The 27,907-nt window shown below is 39.8% G+C and overlaps 1 pseudogene across 1 annotated transcript, besides 1 other annotated feature; it reads right to left on the bottom strand.

The window, feature by feature from the left end:
- HSD17B7P2 (hydroxysteroid 17-beta dehydrogenase 7 pseudogene 2) lies at positions 1–22,126 on the bottom strand (annotated as a pseudogene). Its single transcript, NR_003086.1, has 8 exons — positions 22,017–22,126; positions 19,991–20,194; positions 16,168–16,266; positions 14,896–15,010; positions 12,877–13,072; positions 8,497–8,553; positions 7,333–7,431; positions 1–521 (listed from the first exon to the last, which is right to left on the bottom strand). The product of NR_003086.1 is annotated as a hydroxysteroid 17-beta dehydrogenase 7 pseudogene 2 (transcript).
- Positions 21,912–22,469: an enhancer, noted in NCBI's record as "H3K27ac hESC enhancer chr10:38644965-38645522 (GRCh37/hg19 assembly coordinates)". NCBI's record gives its function as "activates a minimal SCP1, AML or CMV promoter by ChIP-STARR-seq in naive H9 embryonic stem cells {active_cell/tissue: H9 hESC(naive)}" and the evidence as "EXISTENCE:reporter gene assay evidence [ECO:0000049][PMID:30033119]".

Raw genomic sequence — 27,907 nt, 5'->3', positions numbered from 1 at the left:
TCATAGTTCATAGTTTATTACAAATGCATATTATCCAACTCAGTAGAAATCCATGTACCCCAGAATGTACAGAAGGTATGCAATGTTCCAGAGTGTCATTGTCAGCTCTGGCTTTACATATATATTAAATATATATATGTTTTGAGACAGGGTCTCGCTGTCACCCAGGCTGGAGTGCAGTGGCACAATCTCAGCTCACTGCAACCTCCGCCTCCCAGCCTCAAGAGATCCCCCCACCTCATCCTCCTGAGTAGTTGGGACTACATGCGCATGCCACCACACCCAGCTATTATTTTTATTTCTTTTTGTAGAGACAAGGGCTCACTATGTTTCTCAGGCTGGTCTCGAACTCCTGGTCTCAAGTGATCCTTCTGCCTTGGCCTCCCAAAGTGCTGGAATTATAGGCATGAGCCACTGAGCCTGGCCTGATTATCTGTTTTTTGAATAGTGACCCTAATGTGCTTTTCCAGTTCCAGTAACTTTTGATAAAATTTTTCAGCAGTGTCTTCATCTAGGTCCATCTGGAAAAGAAGCAAACATAGAGATGTCTAGAAAGGAAAAATAAGATGAATAGTATTTGTATAAAAAAAAGGCATTCAATATATGAAATAAAAAGAAAGGAGGCAGCAAGAAAGGGCCACGGTGGCAGACACGTGGAAGAAGCTGAGAGCCTGAAGACATACTAAATCTCAGTCTCAGTTCCAACACTCACCAACCAAACCCACTGATGCTTCCCTTAAACAGCAAGACTGAAAGATCTGAGTTTTGCTATCTCCCCCAACTTTTATATGCCCAGTAACAGAAGACACCAACCAACTGTGTTATCAAAGGACAAAACAGAAAAATCAAGAGTTTTGTGAATTTTTAACGACTACTCACTTCCTAATATCAATCTGGCTTAGTAAAAGAGCCCTGGTTTTAGCTGGGCTCACTGCCCTCTGGATATAAGACGATACTTCAGCCCCCATTGAAACAATGGGTGCCAGAGCCATGAGACTATGTTCTGGCTAGTGAGATGTAAATAATACCTGGAGTCTCTTCAAGAGAAATAAAGCATCCCTTTTTTCTTCCCTTCTTCCATACCACTCTCGAGCCACAAGCCTGAGGGCCACGCCCTAAAGATGGCCAGGTGGTGATTGCAAGGAACTTGAGTACCTGACAATTTGTGGACTTGCCATGGCAGCCTGAGACTGCCTCTCTCCTAAATGCTTTTACAGGCAAGAAATTTAAGATTCTATCTAGTTTAATCTATAGTTATTTTACATTCTTGTGTTTCATGCAGAAAATCTCGACAGTATGTACAGGCAAACTTTCAGCCCTTTTAAAATAGTGATATCCTTTTATCAAGCCAACACAGAGCCTAAACTTCAAGAACAGCCTCTTTGTTCACAAAATTGAAAGGCTAAAAATTAAATAAACTTTTGAACATTTTGAAAATAACATTTTTAAGGGCAGCCAGAGAGAAAGGTCGGGTTACCCACAAAGGGAAGCCCATCAGACTTAACAGCAGATCTCTTGGCAGAAACTCTACAAGCCAGAAGAGGGTGGGGGCCGATATTCAACATTCTTAAAGAAAAGAATTTTCAATCCAGATTTTCATATCCAGCCAAACTTAGCTTCATAAGTGAAGGAGAAATAAAATACTTTACAGACAAGCAAATGCTGAGAGATTTTGTCACCACCAGGCCTGCCCTACAAGAACTCCTGAAGGAAGCACTAAACATGGAAAGGAACAACCGGTATCAGCCACTGCAAAAACATGCCAAATTGTAAAGACCAGCGATGCTAGGAAGAAACTGCATCAACTAACAAACAAAATAACCAGCTAACATCATAATGACAGGATCAAATTCACACATAACAATATTAACCTTAAATGTAAATAGGCTAAATGATCCAACTAAAAGACACAGACTGGCAAATTGGATAAAGAGTCAAGACCCACCAGTGTGCTATATTCAGGAGACCCATTTCATGTGCAGAGACACACATAGGCTCAAAATAAAGGGATGGAGGGAGATCTACCAAGCAAATGGAAAACAAAAAAAGGCAGTGGTCGCAATCCTAGTCTCTGATAAAACATACTTTAAACCAACAAAGATCAAAGACACAAAGAAGGCCATTACATAATGGTAAAGGGATCAATTCAACAAGAAGAACTAACTATCCTAAATATATATGCACCCAGTACAGGAGCACCCAGATTCATAAAGCAAGTCCTTAGAGACCTACAAAGAGGCTTAGACTCCCACAGAATAATAATGGAAGACTTTAACACCCCACTGTCAACATTAGACAGATCAACGAGACAGAAAGTTAACAAGGATATCCAGGAATTGAACTCAGCTCTGCACCAAGCAGACCTAATAGACATCTACAGAACTCTCCACCCCAAATCAACAGAATATACATTCTTCTCAGCACCACACAGCACTTATTCCAAAATTGACCACATAGTTGGAAGTAAAGCATTCCTCAGCAAATGTGGAAGAACAGAAATTATAACAAACTGTCTCTCAGACCACAGTGCAATCAAACTAGAACTCAGGATTAAGAAACTCACTCAAAACCACTCAACTACATGGAAACTGAACAACCTGCTCCTGAATGACTACGAGGTACATAACGAAATGAAGGCAGATATAAAGATGTTCTTTGAAACCAATGAGAACAAAGACACAACACACCAGAATCTCTGGGACACATTTAAAGCAGTGTGTAGAGCGAAATTTATAGCACTAAAAGCCCACAAGAGAAAGCAGGAAAGATCTAAAATTGACACTCTAACATCACAATTAAAAGAACTAGAGAAGCAAAAGCAAACACATTCAAAAGCTAGCAGAAGGCAAGAAATAACTAAGATCAGAGCAGAACTGAAGGAGATAGAGACACAAAAAAACCCTTCAAAAAATCAATGAATCCAGGAGCTGGTTTTTTGAAAAGATCAACAAAATTGACAGACTGCTAGCAAGACTAATAAAGAAGAAGAGAGAGAAGAATCAAATAGACGCAATAAAAAATGATAAAAGGGATATCACCACCGATCCCATCTGAGAATACTATAAACACCTCTACGCAAATAAACTAGAAAATCTAGAAGAAATGGATAAATTCCTGGACACTTACACCCTCCCAAGACTAAACCAGGAAGGGGTCAAATCCCTGAATAGACCAATAACAGGATCTGAAATTGAGGCAATAATAGCCTACCAACCAAAAAAAGCCCAGGACCAGACAGATTCACAGCCGAATTCTACCAGAGGTACAAGGAGGAGCTGGTACCATTCCTTCTGAAACTATTCCAATCAATAGAAAAAGAGGGAATCCTTCCTAACTCATTTTATGAGGCCAGCATCATCCTGATACCAAAGCCTGACAGAGACACAACAAAAAAAGAGAATTTTAGACCAATATCGCTGACGAACACTGATGCAAAAATCCTCAATAAAATACTGGCAAACCGAATCCAGCAGCACATCAAAAAGCTTATCCACCATGATCAAGTGAGCTTCATCCCTGGGATGCAAGGCTGATTCAACATACGCAAATCAATAAACGTAATCCAGCATATAAACAGAACCAAAGACAAAAACCACAAGATTATCTCAATAGATGCAGAAAAGGCCTTTGACAAAATTCAACAGCACTTCGTGTTAAAAATTCTCAATAAATTAGGTATTGATCGGACATATCTCAAAATAATAAGAGCTATTTATGACAAACTCACAGCCAATATCATATTGAATGGGCAAAAACTAGAAGCATTCCCTTTGAAAACTGGCACAAGACAGGGACGCCCTCTCTCTCCACTTCTATTCAACATAGTGTTGGAAGTTCTGGCCAGGGCAATCAGGCAGGAGAAAGAATGAAAGGGTATTCAATTAGGAAAAGGGGAGGTCAAATTGTCCCTGTTTGCAAATTACATGATTGTATATTTAGAAAACCCCATTGTCTCAGCCCAAAATCTCCTTAAGCTGATAAGCAACTTCAGCAAAGTCTCAGGATACAAAATCAATGTGCAAAAATCACGAGCATTCTTATACACCAATAGGAGACAAACAGAGAGCCAAATCATGAGTGAACTCCCATTCACAATTGCTTCAAAGAGAATAAAATATCTAGGAATTCAACTTACAAGAGATGTGAAGGACCTCGTCAAGGAGAACTACAAACCACTGCTCAATGAAATAAAAGAGGACACAAACAAATGGAAGAACATTCCATGCTCATGGATAGGAAGAATTAATATCATGAAAATGGCCATACTGGCCAAGGTAATGTATAGATTCAATGCCATCCCCATCAAGCTGCCAATGACTGTCTTCACAGAATTGGAAAAAACTACTTTCAAGTTCATATGGAGCCAAAAAAGGGCCCGCATTGCCAAGACAATCCTAAGCCAAAAGAACAAAGCTGGAGGCATCACGCTACCTGACTTCAAACTATACTACAAGGCTACAGTAACCAAAACAGCATGGTACTGGTACCAAAACAGAGATATAGACCAATGGAACAGAACACAGCCCTCAGAAATAATGCCGCATATCTACAACCATCTGATCTTTGACAAACCTGACATAAACAAGAAATGGGGAAAGGATTCCCTATTTAATAAATGGTGCTGGGAAAACTGGCTAGCCATATGTAGAAAGCTGAAACTCGATCCCTTCCTTACACCTTATACAAAAATTAATTTGAGATGGATTAAATACTTAAATGTTAGACCTAAAACCATAAAAACCCTAGAAGAAAACCTAGGCAATACCATTCAGGACATAGGCATGGGCAAGGACTTCATGTCTAAAACACCAAAAGCAATGGCAACAAAAGCCAAAATTGACAAATGGGATCTAATTAAACTAAAGAGCTTCTGCAAAGCAAAAGAAACTACCATCAGAGGAAGGCAACCTACAGAATGGGAGAAAATTTTCACAATCTACCCATCTGACAAAGGGCTAATATCCAGAATCTACAATGAACTCAAATTTACAAGAAAAAAACAAACAACCCCATCAACAAGTGGGCAAAGGATATGAACAGACACTTCTCAGAAGAAGACATTTATGCAAGCAAAAGACACATGCAAAAATGCTCATCATCACTGGCCATCAGAGAAATGCAAATCAAAACCACAGTGAGATACCATCTCACACCAGTTAGAATGGCGATCATTAAAAAGTCAGGAAACAACAGGTGCTGGAGAGTATGTGGAGAAATAGGAACACTTTTACACTGTTGGTGGGACTGTAAACTAGTTCAACCATTGTGGAAGACAGTGTGGCAATTCCTCAAGGATCTAGAACTAGAAATACCATTTGACCCAGCCATCCCATTATTGGATATATACCCAAAGGATTATAAATCATGCTGCTATAAAGACAGATGCACATGTATGTTTACTGCGGCACTATTCACAATAGCAAAGACTTGGAATCAACCCAAATGTCCATCAATGATAGACTGGATTAAGAAAATGTGGCACATATACCACATAGAATACTATGCAGCCATAAAAAAGGATGAGTTCATATCCTTTGTAGGGACATGGATGAAGCTGGAAACCATCATTCTCAGCAAACTATCACAAGGACAAAAAACCAAATACCGCATGTTCTCACTCATAGGTGGGAACTGAACAATGAGAACACATGGACACAGGAAGGGGAACCTCACACACTGGGGCCTGTTGTGGGGTGGGTGTAGTGGGGAGGGATAGCATTAGGAGATATACCTAATGTAAATGATGAGTTATTGGGTGCAGCACACCAACATGGCACATGTATACATATGTAACAAACCTGCACGTTGTGCACATGTACTCTAGAACTTGAAGTATAATAATAATTTAAAATAAAAGAAAGAAAGTAACATTTATCTTCAATCAAGTTAGAGTTTTTCCATAATGGAACTGGAAGAAGCATTACAGAACTCTTCTAGTTCAACCCCATCTTTTAACAGAAGAGAAAGCTGACTTCCCCAAATTAATCAAAGGTTAAAATACTTTCTTCAATGCATTTCCATAAAATGCTAATGAGTATGTCAGTTTGTACAACTAAACATTTTCCCCTTGATAAACAAATCATTCATTCTAAGTTAATAGATAGTAAGTTCAAATACACCCTGCTAGCCTAAAGTAAGCTATTAGTTTACAATAGAATTCCCCAAAGGGATGTTACAGGTTATGTAAAATTTGCTTTAAAAAAAAATTCATGGTGAAGTACTGAAAACAGCAGGATAAAATATTTCACACACATTTCTTAACTGTTTCAACTTCTCACAGCCTTTACTTTGCTGATGTATGCTGTACAAGTCTCTGAAAGAGGGGAATGTAATATGAAGCATGGTTCCATTTTACTTGCTAGAGGAACTACTTCTTGCAAATCTTCTCAGGAAACTAGTATCCCACAGAACATATTTTGAAAAACCTGGAAGGTTCACTTTTAGTGAACAGATAGCACAGGAAGCCAAGTGCATGGCTCCCCTTTTAACTCATGCTACTAACAGAGGCCAAGATCAATGCCAGTTAGTTGACTTACCTGCGATAACAGTCACCTCAATCTCATTTTATCTTATGCTAATGTCTCCTCACAACAGGCTGGACAGTGGAAAATCAGGGGCTGAAATAAACCTTACGCATGACAAAAGTACAACAAAGTAGTTCTCTTAGTTTAAAATAAATTTTCTTATTCCCCAGTATGTAACTCTATGTTTGATTTCATTTTAGATTATACCAAGTCTAAAAAACACAGTACTGACTTTTTTTTCTGCACATTATTCTGTTCCTCCTCAAAACACCATCTATTAAAGCTGACAATTGTCACAAGCAGAATTGAATACTCAAAGGGAAGTTAACTTCACACAGAAAAACACTTCATATTTCATTCAACTTGCAACGTATTTACTGAGCGTCTACCGTGTGTAAGGCAGCCTGCTAGGAAATGGGGTACGACCCTCCTCCTCACAGAGCTTACATTCTGACAGGGGAACCCGAAGGTGAACAAGCATGATCTGCAACAGGTATGAGATGTCAAGAAAGCCTATTACAGAGGCACCCAGGCCCAGTCTACGGGGTCACTAAAGGCTATGGGATAAACTGATCTGAAGGATGAGCACAAATCAATCATCGAGAGGCTGAGAGCAGCTCAAGTCGGGGGAATAAGATGTGCGAGAAGCAGGAGAGAGCAGGATGAAATAAAATCAGGCCCGTGTGATGCTGGTGAACAGTGAGTACCCAGAGAAGCGAAGCTGGGGGGCTGAGGGGCTGGTCAGGAACACGGGCTTAATTCATCAACCCAACAGCAAACATCAGTGCAACAATGTAAGCACATTTACCTTCTGGGTCATAATGTAATTTCTTCCAAAGCCAGTGGTGGCACTCAGATATTTGATCAGAGGATTGACAGATTCAGGCTTTTGGTGGAAAAGCCATACCTGGAAAGGAAGGATGTGTCAATGATTTGTTTCTTCTGCCCAAGGTGAGTGAGGCTGGTGGAGAGTCACTATCTGCACTTTATAGAGCTCCCCAGACAAATTATAAACATCCTCTCAAATATCATCAGTGAATGGTTTGGCAAATATATTGAGAACCAATTAAAATATAGTTTAAAAGCACTTGCTTCTACAACCAATTTGTATTCCCACAATAAATGTATTTATTTCTGTAACACTTACCAAAACAAGAGCATCAAAGCCAATTCCATTTATGTTTTCCTTAGCTAATCTCAATTAAGATTTAAGAATCTACTAAGTACTACAATGCTAGGTCCTCAGGTTTCCAAAGTGAATAGCAAAAATCCTGAAGGAGTTCAATGGAATGAGGGAGACAAATGTAAAGAACTGACTCAGATACAATGGACTTTTTATGTATGACAATTCTGAACCGTTAGTAGAGGCTGCCTCTGGAGCTCTGGGTTGAAGAATATTCAGAGACATCACGTGTGTATAGCAGAAAGGAGTATTATAGCCCATTAGTAATGTCTGCCATTGATGAGGAGACACATGCAACCCATTTGCCACGTGTGATTTAACTCCACTGGCTTCCTAATAAAATAACAACTTGATCTTCTAAGAGAGGGAAGAAAATCTTTATAGAGGGGAATGGTGTTGAACCTTGTTGTCCTGGCTCTTGACCCACAAAATGCTCTTTCTCCACGGGAAATCACAGACTGATTGTGCAGTCACCGTCCTGCTCTGCCTGTCCCTCCAGCTTCCCATTGCTCTGTCTCTCCTCTAGCTGCTGGTGTATCTTGCCTCTAAAGAAGTGCTTTCCCTACAGTCATGGTGCCCAGTGCCATGGTAGATGTTAAACTTGCAAACTTCACTCCTAATGTTCTGTGCTTAGCCTTATAGTCCACTTTAGTTCCAAACGGGACCTCAATTATTCACAGAGCTTATTCTCTTATTATCTTTTCTGTTGAAATTATTTCTACTACGAGTGAACCTATAATTCACATCTGCTAAGTCATCATACAAGTTATAAAAACTTCAGTAACATACCAGAGCTTCTGTTCCATTATATGGTGTCAAAGTGAATGCATTTGCAAAAAAGCGAAGCTGCAGAAAAGAAAACAACAGTTATTTTTTGGTGGTTTAGAATAGAGTCATGAAAGAATTATTCATTTAAATATTTTTAAAAACCCTGCCTTTCTGATTATAGAACACTTTTTAAGTAACAAAAAATAAAGAAGTCAAAAAAGAAACATCATTTAATCTCCATTATTCCAAATCAACTACTTTTAACATGAAGGCCTATTTACTTCTGATCTTTACTTTATGCCTGCCCTAAGGAAGAGACACTTCTTCCTGAGCCCTAAAGAGAGAATCATTCCTAAAAGTAGCATTTTTCAAGATGTGCCACAGAAACAATGGTCCTGCAAGACGTTCAAATCACAAAACAAAAATATGGTTGTATAGTTACATAGTACACAATTATCCCCTTCTTGGGAACTTTTGATGCACAGGATCAGTTTGAAAACTTAGAGAAGTCCAGTTTAACAATGTTCAACATGGGTTTTCTAAAATTATATGATTACAGAACTCTTGGGATCTGTGGTGCATGAGCAATGAAACATTCCTTTAAAGAGAAGTGGACACTCAAATGGTGGTGTGGCAGTAACACTTAGAAATATTAAGCAGAGGTTTCACATTAAGTTCAAAAACCTCAAGTTAAATGGCATTCAGGTTCAATTCCTTAAATCATTTCCCAACCTTTAAACATATCTTCTAGGTCCCAAAAAGAGATTTTTATGAGTTAAGAAAAGAAGTATTCATCACTTGCTAGCAATATTGCCGGCATCAACAGTGTCCATATAAACGGAGGCAGAATTCCATATGTCAAATTGGTCAATGCTGTACCTGGACAGGCCACATTGGAATAGAGACCCTAGGAACAGAGAGGTGTAGCAATGAGACTTTAACTCAGTGTATATTGACTCAGTCCAGCTACATGCTAGTTAATAAAAGAGGTATGTACATGAGCCAGAAGTCAGGTAATAAAGAATTTATGTTCTGAGTTGTCTCTGAAGTTGGGTAAAACGTTTATGTTGAAGAATCATGTATTAAGAGAACCCACTGTGAGAGGCACCCAGGATGCAAAAATTAGTGGGACAAAGTCTCTATTCTCATGAACCTTGCAGTATAAAAAATAACCAATCTTAAAGCTGGGGGAGAAAAGCAGGGCCTGGTTATCTGAGTTTTCCCTATTATTGGCTTAACTGAAGATCAGCTTTTTAATCATAATGAGCATTTAAGATTAAAAGATGTACGGAGTACAGTCCTTGCCTTCGAGAAGTTTCTGGCCTAATAAATAGACAGCTAAACCTAAAGTATGTGTCTGTTTCCCTGCAAGTACATAAGACCCATACCTCTAGCTTGAGGTGGGTGCTCCCGGCATTAGGCTGTATGTGCTATCACAAAACTTTCTCCAACTGAAGATCTCTAAATCAGGTCCTTAGCCTAGAACTCATTTTAGAAAGTTCCACCCTACAAAGAGAGCCCCAATTAACACAGAGCTTAGGTTAATCCAAAGGGTCCTATGTGATCTATAGTTAAGTCCTGGAGCCCTGGGATCATGCCTCTTATTGGGATTTGTTTTACTATTTTATTTAGTTTAATTTATACTATACATTTTACTTTATTTTGATATTGACTATTTTAACTCATTTTTATCATTTTTAAACTCATTTTTTCTTTTAAATAAAAAAATAGGAAGTGCCAGTTTAACAGACAGTTCAACGGACAGACAGCACCCTAAGCAACAGAACCTGGAGGCTTTTCATCCTTTATTTGGTACTGCAGAGGCTTGGCACTGCCTGACATGGATCAACCATCCCTGAGAATCCCCTTGATTTACCAACAATCCTCTAGAAAAAAGTCAAGAGCTAAGACTTATCCTCATGATAGTCCAAAAGTTTTTCCTAAGCAAATAATGTACTCTGCCGCTAAAACAGCTAAGGAAAAGTTCTTATTCTAGGCGCTTCCTAGGATCACTTGGGGACTATTCTGTCCTAAACAAAGAAATCTTCAAACTAAAATCCAGCGTTTCCAACGTATATAATTCTCTGATGTTGAGAGATAAACAAAAAAGAAAGAAGAAGACAATCTTAACCAAGACTGTATCCTTCCATTTGTTTAATTATAGGGATTAATTGTGATGATCCTGAATATTTCTATACAGCTTGAGTGGGGGAGCATGCATGGATAATTAAAGTCTATCAGGCAGTCTATATAGAACCTGACAACATTTCCAGTAACACAGGGCTTCAAAAGGAATCCTGTAATGTTATTCTTTCTCAGCTGCTTCTTTCCTCATAAAGGCCAAGAAGAAAAAGTCATTGGCTGAGAACCAATCTCAACAGATTTTACAAGCAATAGCTAAATCTCCCTCCTTCGTAAAAGATAAAATCCCAAAGCTTACTTGATAATTGAGACTTAAATAGAATCCCAGACCTTTTTATGAAAGGAAAAGCTAATCCCTCTAAAAGGGAGTTCTCAGAGTATCAGGAAGCAGTTGTGACAAGTTTTTAAACATCTCAAGAAACTTCAGAAGGAGGTGCACAATTGGGCCAACATGCTGAGTCCAACCTGCAATATTAACAGCCAATACAAGAACATGTACATGCATGTGCAGACCACATGCACTGACACCTACACACATGCACACACCCAAAAAATACATTCACAAACACATGTGCACACACCCACAAAACCTGTACATGTACATATGAACCCGCTACACATGGGTAGGCACACAAATACATACCCACACTCATGTATATCCACATGTACATATTTGTACAGACACATGTACATACAAACTCACATTCTGAATACAAAACACTGCTGTGAGTGCTTCATACAGATCCCCCTCAGTCAATCTTCCCAATAAATCTGTGAGGCAGGCACTATTACTATCCCTATTTTTCAGATGAGGAAACTGAGGCATAGGGAGATTAAATAATATGCCTAGGGTTACAAAGAGTCAGGATTCAAATTCAGTTCTAGAAAGTATGCTCTTAGCTTCAACTTTATAAGAGGCATGATTCAGGCTGGGTGCAAGCACTGTAATCCCAGCATTTTGGGAGGCTGAGGCAGGCAGATACCTGAGGTCAGGAGTTCGAGACCAGCTTGGCCAACATAGTAAAACCCTGTCTCTACTAAAAACACAAAAATTGGGTGTGGTGGCACATCCCTGTAATCCCAGCTACTCGAGAAGCTGAGGCACAAGAATCACTTGAATTAAGAAGATAGAGGTTGCAGCGAGCCAAGATTGTGCCACTGCACTCCAGCCTGGGCAACAGAATGAGACTCTGTCTCAAAAAAAAAAAGGGGGGCATCATTCTAAGAGCCAGAACACAGAATAACACCTGATAAAGGTAGCAATTCCAGAATAAGCCAGGTCTAGACCATCACGTAAGAGTTATATTTCTATGTCTAATTCATGATCCAAGAAGCTCCGTTGAAGTAAAACATAATTCTTGATCATCTTCTTATTTCACTTTCCTCCTCAACCCTAAACCTGGCCCAGTGCCCTAAACATGATAGGTCTTTTGTAAATGTTAGTGAAATTAAACTTCTCCATAGCCCCATACTCATACAACGCTGTTAATCAAAGCAAACAAAAGAAAATGTCCAAGGGGAAGACTGGAGATTTTCAGGTCAGAATTTAGACCTGGGCAACAGAGACATACAAAGAAGCAGTAAGCTGCAAACCATAGTGGCAACAAGGACTCAGTATGACCAACAAGGGTCGCCATCCCCTGAAAAACATCCCATAAACTGAGATCCTCATAGAGACAGAGCTCTGGAGTCTTAGCTAAAACCACCACTATCTAGAAGGTTTTATAACTACTTGACTGTCCTATAAACGTCTGCTATGACAAACACTAGGAGGCAGCATGGTACAGTGGGAAAAGTCCAAGCTATAAAGTCAGCCTCGGGCTCAATTCTGAGCTCTACCATTTACAAGTTGTGTGACCATCAGGTAAATGACTTAAGTTCTCCGAGATTTAGTGTCCTCATCTGAAAATGGTAATACTTAGACCCACCTCCATGTAATGAGGCAGGTATTTAATGACATACACAGACGAATACAGCACCTGAAACACAGCAAGTACCAAAACAGTAGCTATTATCACTTTTAGTAGTGTCACTCTGTTAACATAAGTTAGAATTCCTGAAGAACCACAGAATGATGAATGAACTACCTATAACTATAATGTCAGGAGCCAATTATCTCTGCCCTAACACTTTCATATACACCAAATATCAATCTAAACTACAAGAGTTAGTGGAAAGCCAGCTACCTTATTAGGAAATCAACAGCAGGTAATTAAGAGAACCCTCCTCTGCCATTTCCGTCACTGAGACAGGCCTTACCTGCTGGTTGAAAGTTCCTGTTCAAAGCCACACTCAAAAGGTCAGTGGCATATTTGGAAGAGCTGTAGGGTTCCTTGCCTTTGCTGTGCTGGAAGTCCTCGAGGCTGAAATTAGATTTCCTTGCATTGCGAGATGATGTCCAGATGAGCTGAGATGGATTGTCACTGTGACAGAGGAGAGGCTCCAGTTCCCGAATCTGGGTGAAAGAAAAAAAAAAGTATTAAAATATACTGACAGAATACAGATAAAAATTTTGAAACCACTGTACTGTATGGTAAGAGATTAGGGTCAGAGACATCAGTATTAACTAGTTATCTAAAAGAGACATGAATTAGTTACACAGAAAAATATTTATAGATATGTATACATACATGAGTTAGTATGTACATATATATCTCTTAGTCTATCAGCAGAGAGGGTTTAGAAGACACTGATATCTCAGTAGCAATAAGCACCCAGATCTTGGTTTCTAATAACCATTCTCTGATAAAAGAAAACATATGTCTTTAGAAAAGTAGCTGATTCTAGGACTGAACAAGGAAAACACAAGATGAGTCTGACGCATCTTGTAGTGCCAGATAGTAAGAAACTGCTCAAAATGAAAGCTAAAACAAAAAGAGAAAACCATAACAATGGGGGTGTGCCAAAGAGATACAGGAGCCAACTGAAAGTGTTCCCAGTGGCCAAAACTGAAAAAATTTGAGCAGGAAAATAAAATAGTATTTATAATTTCAAAGCAGCAAATACATAAACATGAGTCCATATGGATACAATAAATGATTGAATAAAGACATAAATAAAGGAGAACTGACAATCTCCCTTGTGGAAAAAATCCAAATAATTTCTGTAGATAACCCACTCTCTTAAGAAGGTAGAGCACTAGCCAGTATGCATTGGCTGCACATAGTAACTTTCTTTCTTTTTCTCTTTTTTTTTTTTTGAGATGGAGTTTCACTCTTGTTGCCCAGGCTGGAGTGCAATGGCATGACCTCAGCTCACCGCAACCTCTGCCTCCCGGGTTCAAGCGATTCTTCTGCCTCAGCCTCCCAAGCAGCTGGGATTACAGGCATGCGTCACCACACCCGGCTAATTTTGTTTTTTGATAGAGATGGGGTTTCTCCATGTTGGTCAGGCTGATCTCAAACTCCCAACCTCAGGTAATCCGCCTGCCTTGGCCTCCCAAAGTGCTAGGATTACAGGCAGGAGCCACCGTGCCCGGCCCAACTTTCTTTCAAAAAGTAGAGTATGAAAAGGGAGAAAGAAAAAGTAACTTAACAATGGAGAAACCTGACAGACATGACCTCAAGCCAGGTGATCAAGGTTAATATCAACACTGAGAAGTCATACTGAAAGAATACACCCTTGATGTGATGTCATGAGAATGTCACTTTACCTCTGTGGCCTTCCTCCCAAAAACCACATTCTTCAGTCTCACCATGAGAAAAACATCAGACAAATCCCGATTGAGAGAGTCTACAAAACACCTAAGCAGTACTCCTCAAAACTGTCAAGGTCATCAAAAACAAGGAAAGTCTGAGAAGCTGTCACAACCAAGAAGAGCCTAAGGAGACATGACTGCTAAATGTAATGTAGTATCTTGAATGGGATCCTAGAACTGAAAAAAGACATTAGGCAAAAACAGAACCTGAATAAAGTGTGTACTTTAGTTAATAATAATGTAGCAGAATTGATTCATCTATTTCGACAAATGCATCATACCAATGCGAAATGTTAATAATAGGGGAAACTGGGTGTAGGGCATACAGAAAGTCTCTGTACTATCTTTGCAGTAATTCTGTAAATCAAAAACTATTAGTACATTTATTAAAGAAAAATCTACTAGGAAAGCTTCCAGAAGTATTCCATGCTCACAATAAACAAGGCAAATGCAATCAAGAAAACTCAAACATGAGATTAAATCAGTTAACTGGCTGCTCAACTATAATAATGCCCTGTGCCCAGAGCTTTACAGGAACTATCACACCAAATATTAGCTTATTAAGCCCACAGCTTCTTTACCAGGATAAAATGGCCAAAGACATCGGTCTCAAACACCTCCTGAAGTCCATCAGCAGTGATCTTATCACCCTGGGTCAGCAGGCCTTCAGCTGTGGAGAACATATGAATCACTTTTCTGAAACAGCAGAAGATAATTGCATGACTTTTTAAAGCTTCTTTAACTGGAAATACTGAAAACACTTTCCAACCCATCCCCCCGACTCATAAACTACACCTCCCTTGATTCTGTAATGACAGGAATAAAAATACCTATTTCTCAGACTGGGTTATTGTATTAAATGAAATGCCAAAGACCCTCCTTCCCCCCACTAATTCACAGAAATACTTACATACTTATAGCTCACGCTACCAATAGGAACTTGAGTCTCTCAAAAACCTGCTGCTAAAATTCTCTTCACCTCTTTCCCAATCAGGTTACAGGTAAACTGTTCTAAAGGAATAATAAGCTATGCCAAAGGGAAAAAAGTTTTCCTGTGCATGAAGTATGTTTAACTGTCAAAAAAAGAGTTAAACAGATTGTTTGTTTAACTGGGAATTCTTCAAACATATTAATATAGTGTTCTGCTGGGAGGTCAATTTAGTAGGTCAAGATCAATGTGGGGAGAGACAGAGAGAGTGTGTGTGTGTGTGTGTGTGTGTGTGTGTGTGTGTGTGTGTGTGTGTCTGTCTGTCTGTCTGTCTTTTAATGGAAAAGAAGTAAAGCAAAAGCATTGGTATAGTAAGCAGCACATAGTAAGAATGCCTATTTATGAATAAGTGTATTGGGTCACAAAGTAAGATTTATTCCTATAAATAAGAATTCTCCTGGTTGTGTTTCAACATTTTGGAAAGCCACTACACTAATGAGTAACAAGAATCTCCCAGGAAACATTAGTTGTCTGCATTTCCCCAACCTACTTGTCAGAGCACCTGACATACATCTGGGAAATAGTTCAAAGTAACTTTCCTGGAAATTGGAGTCTCTCTGAGAACTCTGCCTAATTTCAAAATGTTCTTGCTAATAGGCATATCCAGGCAGACCAAAAAATGACCTTCTAAACCATTTAGAATGTCCTGGAGACTTAGAATACCATAAAAAATGGGACTTTCAGCACTCCCCACAAAAGAGGATTGCTTTTCTTTCATGATAATGGTTGCAACATCTCCTTTTTCTGTCTTCAACCTTTTCAACAACCCCTTACCTTTCATCCCCCCAACTTAACACGCCATCAAAACTAGGCAGAAAAATGAACACATTCCTTCCAATCAGTTCATCCATAAAATGAAAATTACCTTGAAAAGAGGCCAAAGAGAAGTGCTTTGATATTTAGTTGTGGATTAGGCATGATCCCAGCATTTAGATATATACGGTCTAATCTCTGAAACCTGCAACTAAACCACCAAACAAGATTGTGAGTTGCAAGTAAAAACATCAGGACAAGATTGTGTATTCTATCTCTAGAGTGACTAGATTCAAGGAGGCCTAAGAAAGACAAAAAATACTTTTTAAATTAATAAATTAGCCACAGCAAGCTCAGAAGAATTTATAGCACATTAGAGTTACAGCATTTCTTTCTCAACAGTTTTTCTTTAGCTACAGTAAACATTTGAGAATTCTTTCTTTGGTAGTGGCTTCAAACAGAATCTGTGGAGTCATCGTGGACTTTAAGTAAAACCTCTGATCAATAATTCCTTCCAGCTCTGTCCTCTCAATAAGGAATTGCAGCAACCCTCTAACTCTTAAACCCACTCTCCTCATCTTACAAAGTCTCTTGCTTTTAAAAAAAAAAATCCACATCTCCTCTGGTTGACAAGTAAAATTTATATACTATTGATATTCACCTGACCTGATCTATTAATGCTGAAATCTGAATGCCAAAATATATAATAAAACAGAAGATCCATGTGGAAACCTTTCAGTGTTCATGGACAAGTCCTATGCATCCTAAAATGATGAAAGTTCGTAAGAATACAATGAGATTATAAAAGATGAATGGGGGTAAGGTAATCTTGTTGGGCTCCCCCCTGAATACTTGTCATGGAAGGGATATGAAATGCTGAGTTGAAAAAGCATTTTCAGTTTTAAACCTATGTAAGTCTTCATCTAAGACTCTTCATCTAAGACTTATATAGGTTTAAATGTACTCATTTTGAACTAGGTTCAAGGCAGGTAAAGCCTGCTCTCATGATACTTACAGACACCATAAATATTCAGAATATCTCCTAGAGTTCTATGTGCCAAACTGTCTCTGAATAACCCAAGATATTAAGAGTCATAGCTTCTAAAGTTAGGACCCTGAAATACATACATGGTCTTCAACACGGATCACATACAACCATTTCTTGATCATCCTATAAATAATTGACAAATGACTCAAATTATTAAATTGACCATTTAAAATGCTGATATTATTACCATCAGTTCATCATGTAAGTGCCACAAAGATAGTGTGAGTTCATCCATTGTTGCTTGTTCTATTACCTTATTTGCCAACTTTTATCTACGAATATTAACATATTTGGCTAGGAACGGAGAGGAAATGTTTAGTAAAGACATCAAATTAAGCTCTGGCTTCAGTAAAATGACATACCACTCATCAATAAAATAATTGATACATTGCTCTAATATGGATAAAACAGCATCACTATTTCTTAATAGTTTTCATCTGCACTATGTAATAGAAGAGAATGCTACAGATGGAAAGACCAGGTGTCAGGGATGGTGCTACTTGAGCCATTAGAAGGGATTCTCGAGCTCTCTTTAGCTCTAGTTTATTTCAGACTTAGAACTGAAGAGATCCATTTGAGCCACTGGGTGCAGTTTCTTGACATAAGTAAGAATCTTTCTGGACACTTTCATATATTCCAAACTTGTGAATATCACTACAACCATCATTTCCTAAACTTGAATAACACCAACCATCTCAAAAAAAAGGCTGTTTTGTGGACTAAATAAATACCTCAAAACTTCACTAAAACGCTGATGACAGGTACCTGGGACAACTCACTTATCACCTGAAGTGCTCCCTTCTGCCCCACAGCCTCACTGCCTTGAATCTGTGCTAAGTTGCTAAATATCTTACGAAATACTAAATTACTAAACTTGCGATAAAGTACCGAATATCTTGAACCTTTGAAGGCATTTGGGAATAGTCAGTACTATAAATGTTAAAACTTTGGGTCTCAAAAGTAAACTGCATCGGAATGGGATATTATTAACTGGGAAATGAAGGTTCTTTTCTTCCAAATAAGAAAATATAACAAAATCTAAACAAAGCAGGTAAGAAGCCAGCTGGCTAAGAAAGTTTGGGAAAAGAATGCCTGTAAACATGATTTAAAACTCATAACTTCTCTCAACTTCATGGTTTTTATCTCCATAAGGACATTCAGTATACAGTTTCACAGCCCTGGAGATGCTTAAGTTATGGAGGAGTCGGGGATATGGAATATATCAAAATTTATGTGAAAACAGAACCTAGAAAATCTCCTCAGGTTTTTTTTTTTTTTTTTTCTTTAAGATGCGGTAGAAAACTCTAATAGCTCAGCAATACTGGAGAGAGAAACCACATTTACAAAGGACTAAGGCCACACTGAGAAGAGCTGGAGTGAAGAAAACTAGCTTTCACTTTGTAACTTGTGCATTTGGAACAGGCAAATGCAAATGATTATCAATTCACATAAAATACGAAGTATTTTTATTCAGCAAACGTCTTCATCAAGAAGGCCTTCCTTGTTTCTACCCATTTCATTTTACTGTCCAAGGAAACAAGGTAGTTCTTTGTCTCTTAAGTGCCTCAATATTTGAAAATTAATTATTCCAGATAGCCCTAGGGCAGCATAGACTAGTGCAGGGTTCTTGGACTTTTTTCATCATAAATTCCTCTTACAATTTAAAAACAAATAAATAAATAAAAAGCCCTCTCTGCCCAAAAAATGCATTGTGCACCTACATGCAATTTTGTGTTCACTTTCAGGGGAGTTATACATCTGAGGACTCTATTCCTTCATATACCAACTACTGATCAAATGTCTATTACATGCCAATTACTGTGAAGGTGTGAACAAATCTTTACTGGCCTAGGGAAAAAAAATACTCCTTAGGAAGCAGGGAGAAGCCCTGGGGTCTTGGACCCACCCAACTAATATAAGACTGGATGACCTTCCCAGGCATATTACCCTTATTTCTGTGTCTCAGTTTCTTCACTTGTTAAATGTCACTCACTACTTGCCTTATCTACTTAATGAATTCATTATGTGAAGAAAGATGTAAAAAATGAATTCAAATGTCAAAGGAGTTACCTTAACGTAAGGCAGTGCAACTGATCACACACCAGGATGTACTTACAAATTAGTCTCCATGAAATAATTACGATCATGGTTGAGATTGAAAATGTGGTACTGGCCAAGTGCAATGGCTCACACCTGTAATCCCAGCACCAACTGATCGATATGTATCAGGATGTACTCATAACTTAGTCTCCATGAAATAATTATGATCGTGATTGAGACTGAAAATGTGGTACTGGCTGGGTGCAATGGCTCATGCCTGTAATCCCAGCACCAACTGATCACACATCAGGATGTACTTATAAATTAGTCTCCATGAAATAATTATGATCATGATTGAGATTGAAAATGTGGTACTGGCCAGGCGCAATGGCTGACGCCTGTAATCCCAGCACTTTGGGAGGCCGAGGTGGGTGGATCACGAGGTCACGGGTTCGAAACCAGCCTGACCAACATGGTAAAACCCCATCTCTACTAAAAATACAAAAATTAACCAGGCATGGTGGCGCATGTCTGTAATCCCAGCTACTCAGGAGGTGGAGGCAGGAGAATCACTTGAACCCAGGAGGCAGAGGTTGAAGTGAGCCGAGATCACGCCATTGCACTCCAGCCTGGGCAACAGAGCAAGACTCTATCTCTTTAAAAAAAAAAAAAGAAAGAAAGAAAACGTGGTACTGAGACACAGTGGGTCACCCTATACAGACTTCTTCAACATAACTGCTTACACCGCACCTGTTTCTTTTTAGGTTTTTCTTTCCTCTCTTATTTTATTAAGTGTTATGCTGCACAATCACACGAGAAAAAAAAAATCCATCAGCAAGAGATATACCTTTGCTTAAGTTCCTTGGAGGCCCGGAAGAATGACTGCAGGTTGCTGACATCCACCTGGACAATGGTGACCTCAGCAGTGGGGTGAGAGGCCAGCAGAGCAGCACAGACAGCTTCTGCCTTGCTCATATTCCTGCACGCCAAACACAGATGAAGCTCATCATCTTCCGCCAGCAGCCGCTTGCAGAGGGCCAGGCCAATGCCACTGGGAGGACAATTCAGACACAAGATGTGGGTTATCTGGGATGGCATCAGGTAGAGGCATTTCTCTCTGGTTCAGAAAACTGTGTCAACTTGACCTCCAATGAGAAGCCCAGATAGAAAGAAAAGACTCAACAATTATTTAAGAAGGGAGGAATCCTACACTCCAATAGTCACTTGCTTGAGACACAGCCTAGTTTGTGTTTTTCTCGTTTTGAAAAACTTCAGTGACAAAATAACTGGACTGAAAACAAGAATTGTTCTTTAGTTTTTCTACTACTGGGCTTTATCCTGCCAGTGGTTTTCATTTTGTACTTATTATGCCACTCATGAAAATGATTTAATATATCACCAGTAAGGGCTCAAAAGAGCATCTTATTAGCTGTTTCCTATGTGCATTTTGACTTTGCTCTCTAGGCTCCTCAGGGGCAAGGGCTCTACCACCTATTGGTATCATAAACACCATAAGGAGCACCAGAAATCTCTGATAAAGGAAGAGATGAATCTTTCAGGATGAGGCATCAGTAACATGGCAGGATGTACAAATCCCTCTCAACAACTATGATTAAATAATAGAAAAAGAAAGAACTCAACATGATTAAGTAGAAGGTAGGAATACACTAAATATTAGATGAGTACACCACTTGGAAACAAAGAACTTCAAAACCAGCATTGTAAAACCGCATAGGAGTGGTGACAGCAGTCAGACCAGCCTGGCTGATAGCGATGAAAAGCTGGGTAATAAGTTCTCTTTCAAGACTTAAGTTGATTCCAGGCAAATATGTTAATAGTTAAAACCCAAAAAGAGCCTGGAACCATCAGTAATCTATTAGCACCAACAACAAAGCATCAAAAATATTTATTTGTCCTCACATGAGAACAGTAGGCATTTAATATACAATTGCACATATCACAATGTATGTAAAAGGAACAGACAAAATCAATTCTGACTTACTCAGTACCTTCCACATAAGAAGCACCAATCAACGGTTAAAGTCACTTGAGAGGGTATGCTAAAAAGTTGCCAAATGCAGACACCTACCAAGCTGGCTTAGTTAATATGCATGTGGTTAAATAATTCAAAGTGGATCAATCTTAAATGTTTAACATGTCCTCTGTCTTAATCATTTAAAAATGTCAAATGCAACTAGTAGAAAAATGGTTTGATTGGCTTCATCCTCCACACATTTTTCACAGAAGTGCAAATGACAGGTAAAACAAGCAACAGAAGAGGCTGAGAGACTAAACGAGCAACCCTGGAATTATTATGAGCTGGTTATTCTGCACCCCAACCATGCCTTCATAGGAAAAGATTAATTTTCTCTGGGTTTCTGAAGAGTATGTTAGCTCTCTAGCACTGAGCTAAATGAAACGGGATTGTTTTCTCTCCACCGTCCTAATGTTCATGGGTGTCCAAATTTGTAGGCAAAAGGCTTGTACAGACAAAACACCTGGAGTATAAGACATGATCACGTGGTCAGGAGCAAACTATTGGGCACTGACGATAAATACGAACAGTAGGCAAAGATGGAAAAGGGGCGGAGCCCGCCTGAGTACCCCATTGCCTTGATAACCTCAGGATCATCACTGCGACACTCATCACTTACTGATGCTCTAGTTTTCCTTTTCACTGTCATGTTTAATACAAAGCACCAGTTACTGAGCACCTCAAGAGGCCGACATGCCCCACACCTGCTGCAGACTCCGGGGAACCTAGGCAAAGCCAGGGGCGGGCGCTTCCGGGGTCCGTTCGTGGAGGGTCGCAGACCCCTGCTCTCTCGGACCCCTGATCCGCTGCCGCCTCTGCCAACACAAAGGAGCCTCACCTGCTAGCCCCGGTAATCAAAACCACCTTTCGCATCTTCGCGCACTCACACTTCCAAGCAGTGAAGCAAACGCCGCCGCTGCTTTCGGAAGTCCTACGATTTCGGGCCGCCTCACCCGTCACCAATCAGAGTACGGCCACGCCCCGCCTCCCGTTGCGTCATCGAGTCTGAGCTGATCCCTCCAATCTCAGTCCGCCAACCGTTCCCTGCCCTCGGAGACGGCGTCGGGTGAGATAGGCCGAGGGGCGGAGCTGCGTGACGCAAAGCCCGGAGCCATTCCAGGCTCTTCTCGCTCCGCCTTGGCGCAGGTGTCTGTCACTGCTTCCTAGGGCTCAGCGGACCCCTGATCTTTAATCCTGGTGGGGGCGTCACCCGGCCTAGCACTCAGGACAGGATCTGTGACACGCACTGGGTCTGTGCCCTGGCGCCTGAGATTGGCACTTCATTGCAGGAAGGCCTCACGGTATTTGCACCAGTGCCCATTCTAGAGAAAAGGTTTGGGTCTAGGAGCCAAAGTTGGGCGATTATTATCTAATTTTCCACTCCTTTTTGGATGTACAGATCCAGGCATTGTGCCACTTCACAGCCCAACTTTTGATCCCAGACCTCCTCCTCTAAAGAAACTTATTTGAGAAAATGAGCACTGATTTTATTAAGAACTTTATGTAGAATCAGACCTAAATTACCAGTATTCAAAACTTGGAATGTGGCGTGGAACCAGAATCTCAGAACTTCATTCGCCGAAGTACTGAGAATGTGCTGTAACCTTCTGTATCAGTGCATCTCAAACTGTGCTAAAGGACCTGTTTTTGTCTCCAAGCCATTCCAGATGGGTGCTTTTAGAAAATACAAAAAAAAAAAGTGCTAGAAAAAGAAAAGCAAAAGGCATACAAAACACAAGCCCCGATATTTTATTATTAGATCCAAGACATATAAAAGTACTCTGCCAAAATGAGGCAGAATAGGGTTTGGAGGCAGGGTACTTAAGGCCACTTCGTGCTGACTTCCTAAAGCTCAATCAAGGAAAAACAGCAAGGGCTGGAAGTAGGGAATCTGAGACCAGTTGGTGCTGGCTTCCCAAAGCTGGATCAAAAGGAAAACACCTGGGTCTGGGGGCCGAGAGCCTAGGGCCAATTAACACCAACTTCCTAAAGCTAAACCAGAAGGAAAAACCCCATCTCCCCACTCCCCAGTAGCAAAGGATCAAAGGCTACTCTCCCTACAACCTTCTGTTCCCAGACCAAACTGAGGGTTGGGCTGCTATTTTTCAAGGCCCAATAACGAGATGCAGATGAGCTGGGGAGGAAGAGAGTTTTTATTTCTGTAACCGGTTGCAGGGAGAAGGCCTGGAAATTATCGCCAGACCAACTCAAAATTACAGTTTTTCAGAGCTTATATACCTTCTAAGCGAACTGTCTACGTGTAAGTGTGCATTTATCTAAAGACATAAGTGATTAACTTCTTTTAATCTGTAACTAAGGTCTGAGTCCTGAAAACCTTCCTCTGGAGCCTCAGTAAATTTACTTAACCTAAATGGGTCCAGGTGCTGGGGTGATTATCCTTGTATTCTCTCCTGCTAAGTGGTGGAGGTTTGAGGAGTTCTCTTAGACCCCCCAATAAACTTGTTTGTGGAGGCCTGGGGAGTTTCTTCAGACCACAATAAAACTTGTTTAATCCTAAAGGGGTCCTGTTAAGAATTCTTTCTTTATTTTGTATGCTTTAAGAGGCCCAGGAAAGGCCTAGGCAAAATTCTTAATGGGCTTTTGTTACACCCCAGCCTTTGTATAAGGGCACTGGCTTTCAATATTTAACCACTTAGTCAGTACTGAAACAGTTGTTAGTGAGACGTGGCCTGCCACACTTCCACCGTGTCTCAGATGGAAAGGGAAAGTGCCTTGGATTGGCTGTGGGCCAACCACTAAGCATGGGCCATGCCATCATCTGCATAGGGCACAAATTCACCTCAGCCTTTACTTAGCCATAAACCAAATCCTTCATCCAGATAAGGGGTAGCGCATAGGGACCTCAAAAGAACTATTTAAAACCCAGAAAACTTTGTAACTGGGCCCTTGAGCCACTTGCTCAGGCCCACTCCCACCCTGTGGAGTGCTTTCTCAGTTTAATAAATCCCTGCTTTTGCTTTCGCAGCTTCACCTTTGTTACTTTGTGCATTTTGTCCAACTTTTCGTTCCAAATGGCCAAAAACCTGGATGACTCACACTCAAGGCCCTCCTTCCAGTGACAAAACTGCTATAAAGGTTTCTAATGCTTACTCTAGGTTTCTGTATTTGTAGTAGACTGGTAATGGGACCATCACTAGCCCCAGCTCATGCAGAATAAAACTGTGTATCATACATCAAACGCTACTGAACATACTTTATTTAATGGCCTCTTTCAGTGTTTTAATTATTTATGAACAGCAATGATCCATAAAACACTGAGATAATTTATATTGGCTTTTGATTCTAGAGGTTTTGATTAATGATACCAACTTACTTAGTAATCATTTATCCTATATCAAGAAAATTAGATTGAAAGAACAAATCTGGTTATTAGAACATTAGATTCCTAAATAAAACTTTTTTTTTTTTTTTTTTAGACAGAGTCTTACTCTGTCAGCAGGCTGCAGTGCAGTGGCGCAATCTCGGCTCACTGTAACCTCCGCTTCCCGGGTTCAAGCAATTCTCCTGCCTCAGCCTCCCGAGTAGCTGGGACTAAAGGCACACACCACCACACTCAGCTAATTTTTGTGTGTGTATATATGTGTATATATATATATATATATGTATATTTTTTTTAGTAGAGGTGGGGTTTCATCGTGTTGGCCAGGCTGGTCTTGAACTCCTGACCTCAAGTGATCTGCCTGCCTCAGCCTCCCAAATTGTTGGGATTACAGGCGTGAGCCACCGCGCCCGGCCAATAAAATTTCTATATCATGGGGGTCGAACTCAGCTCCTACGCTTATCCCACTTTCAACTGTTCTAAAGAGACCACAATTTAACAACATTTTCTGAAAGTCATGGAGTAAAATTAAGCCTAATTGTGAGAGTCTAGACCCAAAGACTCATTTTAAAATGTCCTAGAGCTCAGAGGTGATGAGGAATAAGAAGACCAGGTTGTGTGGCTGTCCCATAAAAAAAATCATTTCTATAAAGAAGGGAGAGGGCCTGGGCTGTGGAGGCTCAGCATTACCGCAGTCTCGGGATGACCGCCAGCCTAAGACAGACTGAATTAAGTGAAGTCCAGACAGCTTCAGAGCAAGACCGTCTGTCTCTCCTTTCCCCAAGATTTTCATTCAAGCCAAGTGATGAAACTGCTCTCTTCTTCCTTTTTCTCCACTAAAGTTGCTGCTTTCAAGGTGTTATGACTTTTGAAAGATGGGCTGAACTGCTAGAGGTGCTCAGAGAGACTAGAATAGAGTTCACAATAGATGCCATTTAATTTTATATTTTACAAATATTTTATCACTCATAGGACACAGCTTGATAACCATCATAATATGTTTTTATTGATGAGTGAATGGATAGGTGTGTTTTTTTTAATCATCGTAAGTTTATGTTTTGCATGGGCTCATTCTGTTCTCCTGGAAATCAGAAGAACAATAGGGTACACAATGATCCCATCTATCCCTGCCAAACCTTGGCCTGTGATTTATCTACCATGCCCCGTGCTGAAAAATGTGCTCAGAAAACTCACATATTCTGAGAAGTATTCTCAGAAAACTAAAAGTATAAACTTATTCTCAGAGACCAGGTAAGAAATGGGTTGTTTGGGGTCGTTTCATTCTAATCTCTAGTATAATGACTGAGTCTAAATTCTGGTTTTCATAGTTTTTTTTTGGTTTGTGCATGTGCGGGTAGTCTGAGACAGACTATATTTGGATTTAAAAAGGATTTCTGTGTATCAAACAAGACAAGTCGGTAACCATAACGATAAGGGATCACCAGTTAATTCTAGACTGGATTCCCCAGAACTGGACTAATTAATGTGAGGACGTAAAATCCCAGTGTCTCGTATGTTTGGATATATCAGAGACCAAGATGCTTTCTTCCCAATAAACAGTCAACTCATATGTTAGAGGTCTATTTAAATAATCCTTTGTTGGAAAGCCCCACAAACAGGTGTCCACACCACATACACCCCAGCTCTGGGCCCATGCCCCATCACTTCCCCAGGAATGATGTAAGACTATAAAGAGCAAAGGTTACAAAGCCCAGAACTGGCACTGTTTATACAGAAAGGGAGATCCATCAGTAGCATGACTCTTTAATCATTGTTATTTACAATTTATCATCTGACAGACTTACAGAGAATAAATAAAGAAAAGGAAATATACAATTGGTATCACATTTCTTTTTCTAATACAGAGAAATTTTACATATTCTATTTGGAACGTCTATGATAGTTTTAAGCAGAAATTAAATCCATTTGCCCTTTACCCCTTGACAAGACACATCATCTTCCAAAGCCTGCAGAAGGGGGCCCAGATATTTCTTCATCACAGGAAGAGTGCACCACATCGCTGCAGAAACTCAGTCCTCAGAAAAAGTTACCAGGCAACAAGGTAGAAGAATAGGATACCATGAATAATAAAGGACATAAAATGGATAGGCTAGATTACAGACTCTTGGCGTGTTTGCAGGAAGCCAGCTTTCAATTGTGTCCAAGCCTGTTTTCAAGAAAACAGTTTTTCACTGAAAGTGATTACCTTATCCCATTGTGCTTCCCTTGAGTCTCTGCAAATTCTTCCTTGACATGTTCATTGTGATTGTGGATGAGCACAGGCTAGCTTGGGACTCAGATTATTTTCCTGCAAGGCACCTGACACTGTTGCATGTTGTTGACAAGGTGTCTGCAGGAGAAACTAGATAGCTTGTTTCAAATAGGCTGGATATGAGGCCAGAGTCTGGTCTCTCCTTTTGATTCGGTGTCCTGTGGAGAACTACCTTTCATTGCTGTCTAAATGCCTCAAAAAATTAAGCAGCTCTATAGATCAATTTCTCCATCAAAAAGTATACAAACAGAGAATGCACTTCACCAGGAACAAGTCTGAGTAATTTTTTCTCTTTCCTCATTTGAAAATAAACTCTCCATGTTACAGCAAAACAATTCTCCCTACGTTCACTCTAGTTAATTGGATGAGAAGTTTTTGTTTCTATCTTATGTTCATTCAAAAAAACAACATTCAGCAAATATTTATTAAGTGCTCACAATGACCTGGAGACTTAATAAGACACACATTGTTATAATCTTGACCCCTTAAATAGGGGACTTAAAAATGTCAATCATAAAACTCAAAACTGTAATCCACAAAACTGGAGTTTCAACTTCTCCCCAGGTTGCCGCTGTGTTTGCAATTAATTTGGTCTAATGTGGTTGTTATTCCATTTAATAACAGCTATTTAGGCAAATAAAACCTCTCTACCACGCTGAAAATAGTATTTTATCAAACATTAGGAGTCTATACCATTGTATTCTGTTCTCTCCACAAGCTATTTCCAGTGCCATTAACTAAGTGCCAACTAACTCTTGACTGAAATACTGGTTTACTCTAAACTCCTTATTTTGTCCCCAGTGCTAATCCTACTCACGTAGAAGCAGCAGGAAGCATCTAGAATATCCTGCTACCTGGTTTTCTAGGCAACAAGCTATGAACAGGTCTTACTGTCTTTTGTGTTGCCTAATCTTTCTAAGTTTGTCTTGGATTGTTTCAGATGCCAAACAGCCAAACAAATCAGAAAGTTTAGAAGCAGTGTAGTCAGGGTATTGCTCATGACAAAGGAACACATTAGTGTGTTAATAGTCTCTCTAAAACTGTAGAACTTTATCCAGATAGTATCTTTCCTGTTATATCCAAGCAAGGCCAGATTACAAATCAGCAAGAATTAAAA

Source organism: Homo sapiens, chromosome 10, assembly GCF_000001405.40.
Source record: "Homo sapiens chromosome 10, GRCh38.p14 Primary Assembly".
In the NCBI taxonomy this organism is placed as follows: domain Eukaryota; kingdom Metazoa; phylum Chordata; class Mammalia; order Primates; family Hominidae; genus Homo; species Homo sapiens.
Note: the sequence above shows the minus strand (reverse complement) of the source record. Positions and strands in the feature narration are given on the sequence as shown.